At 38.9% G+C, this 9433-nt stretch overlaps 1 annotated feature.

The window, feature by feature from the left end:
• Positions 8352 to 8852: an enhancer, noted in NCBI's record as "H3K27ac-H3K4me1 hESC enhancer chr18:61607430-61607930 (GRCh37/hg19 assembly coordinates)". NCBI's record gives its function as "activates a minimal SCP1, AML or CMV promoter by ChIP-STARR-seq in naive H9 embryonic stem cells {active_cell/tissue: H9 hESC(naive)}" and the evidence as "EXISTENCE:reporter gene assay evidence [ECO:0000049][PMID:30033119]".

Below are 9433 nucleotides of genomic sequence, written 5' to 3'. Positions count from 1 at the left end.
TTGGTATTTTGACAGGGATTGCATTCAATCTGTAAATTGTTTGGGTAGCATTGTACTTTTAACATTAATTATTCCAACCTATGAGCATGAATATGTGTCCATTTTCTGTGTGTGTTCTTCACGTTTTTCTCATCAGTGTTTTATAGTTGTCCTTGTAGAAGTCTTTCACTTTTTTAATTAAATTGATTACTAGGTATTTTATACATCATATTTCTTATAGCTATTGTAAGTGGGATTTCTTTCTTGATTTCTTTTTCAGACTGTTCACTGTAGATGTATAGACATCTTACGGATATTTTATATCCATTTTGTATTCTGCAACTTTACTGATTCATTTATTAGTTCTAGTAGTTTTTGAGGGGAGTCTTTTGGTTTTTCCGATTATAAGATTATACCATTGGTGAGCAAAGCTAATTTTACATCTTTCTTTCCAGTTTGGGTGTCCTTTGTTTCTTTTTCTTGCCTAATTGCCCCGGCCAGGACTTCCAGTCAGATACTGAATAAAGGGGGTGAAACTGGGCATCCTTGTCTTGTTGCAGATCTTATAGGAAAGGTTTTCAATTTTTCCCTGTTCAGTATGATATTAGCAGTGGGTTTTTCATTTTGGTTTTTATTGTTTTGAGGTATATTCCTTCTATACCCAATGTGTTAAGGATTTTTATCATAAAGAGATGTAGGATTTTACTGAATACATTTTCGGCATCTATTGAAATGATCGTGCAGTTTTTGTTGTTGGTTCTTTTAATGCAATGTATCGCATTTATTGATTTGTGTATATTGAATCATACTTGCATACCCGGGTGAATCTCACTTGATCGTGGTGAGTGATCTGTTTAATGTGTTGTTGAATTGGAGTTGCTAGCAATTTTTTGAGGATTTTTTCTGTTTTTTACCTGTTGATATGACGGATTCCTTTGATTTTCAAATGTTGAATTAGTCTTGTACACCTGCAATCAATCTTACTTAGTCACAATGTATAATCCAACTATTTTACACATAGTTTGATTTCATTTGTGAATATGTTGTTCAGGATTTTGCATCTATACTAATGAAAGATATTGGTCTTTAAGTTTCTTTTCTTCTAATGTCTTTGTCTGGTTTTGTTATCAGAGTAATTCCAGCCCTATAGAATGAATTAGAAAGTAGTTCTTCTGCTTCTATCTTCTGAAAGAGATTTAGAGAATTGGAGTAAACGTTTTCTTAATTTGTTTTTAGAATTTACCAGTGAGCCCATCTGGGTCTGGTAATTATTTTAGATGGCTATTAATTATTGATTAATTTTTTTAGTAGATATAGGCCTATTCAAATGTTCTATTTCCTGTTGTGTGACTTTTGGCGGATTGTGTCTTTCAAGAAATTGATCCACGTCATGTAGTTTATCAAATTTGTGGGCACAGAGCTGTCCTGAGTATTCCTTTATGATTTTTTACTGTACATGGGATTTTTAGCATTTCACCACTTTCATTTCTGATATTAGTAATTTAGGCTTTTCTTTTTGCTTAGCCTGGGTACAGTCTCATCAATTCATTGGTCTTTTAAAAGAACTAGCTTTTGTTTTCATTGATTTTCTCTCTGGATTTCATTCATTTCTGCCCCCATTTTTATTATTTATTTTGTTTTGCTTAGTTGGGTTTAATTTACTCTTCTTTTTCTGATATTCTAAAGTAGAAGCTGTGGTGATTGATTTTAGAGTTTTTAAAACAAAGTTTCTACTTTTTTAACGTATCCATTCAATGCCATGAATTTTTCTGGAGAGGTGACTCACATTGTCCAGTAAGCCAAGAAATGTTAAGTGTCTAAATAGTAAACTCTAACCTTGGGTGAGTAAAATATGTAAACTAGTGGATTAAATCATCTGTGATTGAATCCATTACTTAACTCACTACATTAGTTAAGCAAATATTTACCTTCACTCCTTCATCTTTAACCTCTTCACTTTTTTGAAGTCTTATCTCATAATTATACTCAATATCTTATATATTTTTAAAAACACACTTTCTTTACTTTTGTATATGATTTTACTTACATAAATTTCAAGAAAATGCAAACTGATCTATAGTGACATACGGTAGATCAATAGTTGCATGGAACATGGAACTGAGGAGAGGGCAGAGAGAGGTGGGTGAGAGGCAGTATAAAGGAGAAGGGGATACTTTGGTGTGATGGATATGTTCACTATCTAGTTTGTTTTTACAGGTGTGTACGTGTATATATACATATATCCAAATGTATCAGATTATATATTTTATTTTTCATTAATTAATTTTTTATTACTGTTAATTATTATACTTTAAGTTCTGTGGTACATGTGCAGAACGTGCAGGTTTGTTACGTAGGTATACACATGCCATGGTGGTTTACTGTACCCATCAATCTGCCATCTACATTAGGTATTTCTCCTAATGCTACCCTCCCCTAGACCCCACCCCCATGACAGGCCCCAGTGTGTGATGTTCCCCTCCCTGTGTCCATGTGTTCTCATTGTTCAACTCCCACTTATGAGTGAGAACATGCGGTGTTTGGTTTTCTGTTCTTGTGTTAGTTTCCCGAGAAAGATGGTTTCCAGCTTCATCCATGTCCCTGCAAAGGACATGAACTGCATAGTATTCCATGGTGTATATGTGCCACATTTTCTTTATCCAGTCTATCATTGATGGGCATTTGAGTTGGTTCCAAGTCTTTGCTATTGTGAACAGTGCCACAATAATCATACGTGTGCTTGTGTCTTTATAGTAGAATGATTTATAATCCTTTGGGTATATACCCAGTAATGGGATTGCTGGATCATATGGTATTTCTGGTTCCAGATCCTTGAGAAATTACCACACCGTCTTCCACAATGGTTGAACTAATTTACACTCCCACCAACAGTGTAAAAGTATTCCTATTTCTCCACATCCTCTCTAGCACCTGTTGTTTCCTGACTTTTTAATGATCGTCATTCCAACTGGCGTGAGATGGTATCTCATTGTGGTTTTGATTTGCATTTCTCTAATGACCAGCGATGATGAGCTTTTTTCATATGTTTGTCGGCCGCATAAATGTCTTCTTTTAAGAAGTGTCTGTTCATATCCTTCGCCCACTTTTTTTATGGTGTTGTTTGTTTTTTTCTTGTAAATTTGTTTAAGTTCTTCTTACAGTCTGGATATTAGCCCTTTGTCAGATGGATAGATTGCCAAAATTTTTCTCCCATTCTGTAGGTTGCCTGTTCATTCTGATGATAGTTTCTTTTGCTGTGCTGAAGCTGGATCCCATTTGTCAATTTTGGCTTTTGTTGCCATTGCTTTTGGTGTTTTATTCATGACGTCTTTGCCCATGCCTATGTCCTGAATGGTATTGCCTAGGTTTTCTTCTAGGATTTTCATGGTTTTAGGTCTTACATTTAATACTTTATTACATCTTGAGTTAATTTTTGTATAAGATGTAAGGAAGGGGTCCAGTTGCGGTTTTCTGCATATGGCTAGCCAGTTTTCCCAACACCATTTATTAAATAGGGAATCCTTCCCCCATTGCTTGTTTTTGTCGGGTTTGTCAAAAATCAGATGGTTATAGATGTGTGGTGTTATTTCTGAGGCTTCTGTTCTGTTCCATTGGTCTATATACCTGTTTTGGCACCAGTACCATGCTGTTTTGGTTACTGTAGTCTTGTAGTATAGTTTGAGTCAGGTAGCGTAATGCCTCCAGCTTTGTTCTTTTTGCTTAGGATTCTCTTGGCTATGTGGGGTCTTTTTTGGTTCCATATGAAATTTAAAGTAGTTTTTTTTTTCTAATTATGTGAAGAAAGTCGCTGGTAGCTTGATAGGGGTAGCATTGAATCTATAAATTACTCTGGGCAGAATGGCCACTTTCACCATATTGATTCTTCCTATCCATAAGCATGGAATGTTTTTCCATTTGTTTGTGTCCTCTCTTATTTCCTTGAGCAGTGGTTTGTAGTTCTCCTTGAAGAGGTCCTTCACATTCCTTGTAAGTTGTATTCCTAGGTATTTTATTCTCTTTATAGCAATTGTGAATGGGAGTTCACTCATGATTTGGCTCCCTGTTTGTCTATTATTGGTGTATAGGAATGCTTGTGATTTTTGCACATTGATTTTGTATCCTGAGACTTTGCTGAAGTTGCTTATCAGCTTAAGGAGATTTGGGGCTGAGACAATGGGGTTTTCTAAATATACAATCATGTCATCTGCAAACAGGGACAATTTGACTTCCTCTCATCCTATTTGAATATGCTTTATTTCTTTCTCTTGCCTGATTGCCCTGGCCAGAACTTCCAATAATATGTTGAATAGGAGTGGTGAGAGAGGGCGTCTTTATCTTGTGCCGGTTTTCAAAGGGAATGCATCCAGCTTTTGCCCATTCAGTATGATATTGGCTGTGGGTTTGTCATAAATAGCTCTTATTATTTTGAGATACATTCCATCAATACCTAGTTTATTGGGAGTCTTCATTTTTTATACCTTGGAAATAAAACTCTGCCTTTTCATTTTTCCATTCTCCATCAAGCTTCTTTATAAAAAGTGTATACACAGAGTGTTGTCTTTTTTTCACGTTTGATTCTCTCCTGACCCCACTGCAGTTAGAAGTCCACCCCAACATTCTCTGAAATTCCTCCTGATAAGGTCACCACTCCTTTTTTAACTGCCATGGCCAAAAGATATGCCCCAGGTCTTATCTCATTTTGTTTGTTGGCGACTTTTAGCCCTTTCGTCTTCGGCCTTCCAAGGATGTCCAGAGCCCCCTTCCTTTCTTGCTCAACTCCTTTGCTTGGTATCCAGATTCCTTTCCTCCGATTCTAGGCCCTCTACTTTTCATTATAATATGATCTTGTCATGATCTTATCATATGACCTTAACTGTATCCATAGGTTCAAGTTTCAAATTTTACTTATTTCATCCATATCGCTAACCTGGCTCTTGAGCTGTAGACGTTACCTGTGTACAACTGGACATCTCTCAGAAACCTGGGTGCATCCCTTCCCAGTTCTCTTCACTAAATGATCAACAGCTCTGCCATTTCTATCACCTTCATGCTGCTTCAATCCGCTCTTTCTCACCTTCATCACATCTCATTTCTCTCCTAAACAATTAATTTCCTTACAGTTCTCCTGATCAATGCCAACTTATTCTCTCCTCTGAAGTCCATATAAACATTCCTGGACTTTTTTTGGTTGGTAGGCTGTTAATTATAGCCTCAATTTCAGAGCCTGTTATTGGTCTATTCAGGGATTCGTCTTCTTCCTGGTTTAGTCTTGGGAGGGTGTATGTGTCCAGGAATGTATCCATTTCTTCTAGATTTTCTAGTTTATTTGCGTAGAGGTGTTTATAATATTCTCTTATGGTGGTTTGTATTTCTGTGGGATCAGCGGTGATATCCCCTCTATCATTTTTTATTGCATCTATTTGATTCTTCTCTCTTTTCTTCTTTATTTGTCTTGCTAGTGGACTATCAGTTTTGTTGATCTTTTCAAAAAACCAGCTCCTGGATTCATTTATTTTTTGAAGGGTTTTTTGTGTCTCTATTTCCTTCAGTTCTGCTCTGATCTTAGTTATTTCTTGCCTTCTGCTAGCTTTTGAATGTGTTTGCTCTTGCTTCTCTAGTTCTTTTAATTGTGATTTTAGGGTGTCAATTTTAGATCTTTCCTGCTTTCTCTTGTGGGCATTTAGTGCTATAAATTTCCCTCTACACACTGCTTTAAATGTGTGCCAGAGATTCTGGTATGTTGTGTCTTTGCTCTCATTGGTTTGAAAGAACCTATTTATTTCTGCTTTCATTTCATTATGCACCCAGATGTCATTCAGGAGCAGGTTGTTCTGTTTCCATGTAGTTGAGCAGTTTTGAGTGAGTTTCTTAATCCTGAGTTCTAGTTTGATTGCACTGTGGTCTGAGAGACAGTTTGTTATAATTTCCGTTCTTTTACATTTGCTGAGGAGTGCTTTATTTCCAACTATGTGGTCAATTTTGGAATAATTGTGATGTGGTGCTGAGAAGAATGTATATTCTGTTGATTTGGGGTGGAGAGTTCTGTAGATGTGTATTAGGTCTGCTTGGTGCAGAGCTGAGTTCAATTCCTGGATATCCTTGTTAACTTTCTGTCTCGTTGATCTGTCTAATATTGACAGTGGGGTGTTAAATCTCTCATTATTATTGTGTGGGAGTCTAAGTCTCTTTGTAGGTCTCTAAGGACTTGCTTTATGAATCTGGTTGCTCCTGTATTGGGTGCATATATATTTAGGATAGGTAGCTCCTCTTGTTGAATTGATCCCTTTACCATTATGTAATGGCCTTCTTTGTCTCTTCTGATCTTTGTTGGTATAAAGTCTCTTTTATCAGAGACTAGGATTGCAACCCCTTCTTTTTTTGTTGTTTTGCATTTGCTTGGTAGATCTTCCTCCATCCCTTTATTTTGAGCCTATGTGTGTCTCTGCACATGAGATGGCTCTTCTGAATATAGCACACTGATGGGTCTTCACTCTTTATACAATTTGCTAGTCTGTGTCTTTTAATTGGAGCATTTAGCCCATTTACATTTAAGGTTAATACTGTTATGTGTTAATTTGATCCTGTCATTATAATATTAGCTGGTTATTTTGCTCGTTAGTTGATGCAGTTCCTTCCTAGCATCGATGGTCTTTACAATTTGGCATGTTTTTGCAGTGGCTGGTACTGGTTGTTCCTTTCCATGTTTAGTGCTTCCTTCAGGAGCTCTTGTAAGGCAGGCCTGGTGGTGACAAAATCGCTCAGCATTTGCTTGTCTGTAAAGGATTTTATTTCTCCTGCACTTATGAAGCTTAGTTTGGCTGGATATGAAATTCTGGGTTGAAAATTATTTTCTTTAAGAATGTTGACTATTGGCCCCTACTCTCTTCTGGCTTGTAGAGTTTCTGCCAAGAGATCCACTGTTAGTCTGATGGGCTTCCCTTTGTGGGTAACCCAACCTTTCTCTCTGGCTGCCCTTAACATGTTTTCCTTCATTTCTACTTTGGTGAATCTGACAATTATGTGTCTTGGAGTTGCTCTTCTCGAGGAGTATATTTGTGGCATTCTCTGTATTTCCTGAATTTGATTGTTGGCCTGCCTTACTAGGTTGGGGAAGTTCTCCTGGATAATATCCTGCAGAGTGTTTTCCAACTTGGTTCCATTTTCCCTGTCACTTTCAGGTACACCAATCAGATGTAGATTTGGTCTTTTCACATAGTCCTATATTTCTTGGAGGCTTTGTTTGTTTTTTCTTACTGTTTTTTTCTCTAAACTTCTCTTTTCGCTTCATTTCATTCATTCGATCTTCAATCACTTATACCCTTTCTTCCAGTTGATCAAATCAGCATGTCTCATGTGCATGTGTCATGTAGTTCTCGTGCCATGATTTTCAGCTCCATTAGGTCATTTAAGGTTTTCTCTACGCTGTTTATTCTAGTTAGCCATTCGTCTAATCTTTTTTCAAGGTTTTTAGCTTCTTTGCGATGGGTTTGAACATCCTCCTTTAGCTCGGAGAAGTTTGTTATTACCGATCATCTGAAGCCTTCTTCTCTCAACTTATCAAAGTCATTCTCCGTCCAGCTTTGTTCCCTTGCTGGCGAGGAGCTGCATTCCTTTGGAGGAGGAGAGGCACTCTAATTTTTAGAATTTTCAGCTTTTCTGCTCTGGTTTCTCCCTATCTTTGTGGTTTTAGCTACCTTTGGTCTTTGATGATGGTGACGTGCAGGTGGGGTTTTGGTATAGATGTCCTTTCTCTTTGTTAGTTTTCCTTCTAACAGTGAAGACCCTCAGCTGCAGGTCTGTTGGAGTTTGCTGGAGGTCCACTCCAGACCCTGTTTGCCTGGGTACCACCAGCAGAGGCTGCCAAACAGCAAATATTGCAGAATGGCAAATGCTGCTGCCTGATCTTGCCTCTGAAAGCTTTATCTCAGACGGGCACCAGGCCGTATGAGGTGTCAGTTGGCCTCTACTGGGAGGTGCCTCCCAGTTAGGCTATTTGGGGGTCAGGAATCCACTTGAGGAGGCAGTCTGTCCGTTCTCAGATCTCAAACTCCGTGTTGGGAGAACCACTACTCTCTTCAAAGCTGTCAGACAGGGATGTTTAAGTCTGCAGAAGTTTCTGCTGCCTTTGGTCATCTATGCCCTGCCCCTAGAGGTGGAGTCTACAGAGACAGTCAGGGCTCCTTGAGCTGTGGTGGGCTCTTCCCAGTTTGAGCCTCCTGGTGGCTTTGTTTACCTACTCAAGCCTCAGCAATGGCGGGCACCCCTCCCCCAGCCTCGCTACCACCTTGCAGTTCGATTTCAGACTGCTGTGCTAGCAGCGAGCGAGCCTCCGTGGGCGTGGGACCCTCCCAGCCAGTCGCGGGATATAATCTCCTAGTGTGCCATTTGCTAAGACCATTGGAAAAGTGCAGTATTAGGATGGGAGTGACCCGATTTTCCAGGTGCCGTCTGTCACGGCTTCCCTTCGCTAGGAAAGGGAATTCCCTGACCAATTGCGCTTCCCGGGTGAGGTGATGCCCCACCCTGCTTCAGCTTACACTCAGTGGGCTGCACCAACTGTCCTGCACCCACTGTCCAACAAGCCTCAGTGAGATAAACCCGGAACCTCAGTTGAAAATGCAGAAATCACCCATCTTCTGCGTTGCTCACACTAGGAGCTGTAGACTGGAGCTGTTCCTATTGGACCATCTTGGAACCTGATCTCTCCTAAGTTTTGTATTTTTAGTAGAGACAGGATTTCACCATGTTGGCCAGGATAGTCCCAGTCTCTTGACCTTATGATCCACCGGCCTCCGCCTCCCAAAGTGCTAGGATTACAGGCGTGAGCCACCACGCCCGGCCATATCTTCAAATATCTTAGTGGAGGGTCAAGCACTGAGGCTGGAACATATTTTTCCGGCACTCAGCAACCCGCGCCTCAGCTTACAGACTGGTAACAACCAAGTGGTGAAGAAGATTCCTTATCTCTAGTGGCTTCCATTCCCTGAACTGAAATAATAGATCTGGAATTGAAGAAAATTCACAGTCCATCAATATAAATGCAAATTGCTTTTTTCTCCCCCTTACTGGAATTTCATGGAAAAATTCTGAATAAATTTACCTCTCTTGTTCCCACAGTTAAGAATCAAAATAATTCATTTTTGAGGGAAAAGGACTCAGCGATGCAATGAGGCCATGCTCTCCTGCTCCACTCTAGATTTCTATTGTACTGTTTTAAAAAGAGAAAAAGTGATTGTATTTTTTAAACCACAGACCATCTTTTACATTTAGATGCTTAGATATTTTCTAAATCCTTCCCACATCAAATCTTTTCATCCCTTGAAATCCCTTCTTCACTAAATAACAGATTTGGGAAACAATATAAACAAACCATTTACTAGTTGTCCATAACTTCATTTATTAGACTTTTATTGTACTGAGCACTGCAACAGGCCATAAGGAAGTTAAGAAACAA

Source organism: Homo sapiens, chromosome 18 (assembly GCF_000001405.40).
Source record: "Homo sapiens chromosome 18, GRCh38.p14 Primary Assembly".
Lineage (NCBI taxonomy): Eukaryota > Metazoa > Chordata > Mammalia > Primates > Hominidae > Homo > Homo sapiens.
Note: the sequence above shows the minus strand (reverse complement) of the source record. Positions and strands in the feature narration are given on the sequence as shown.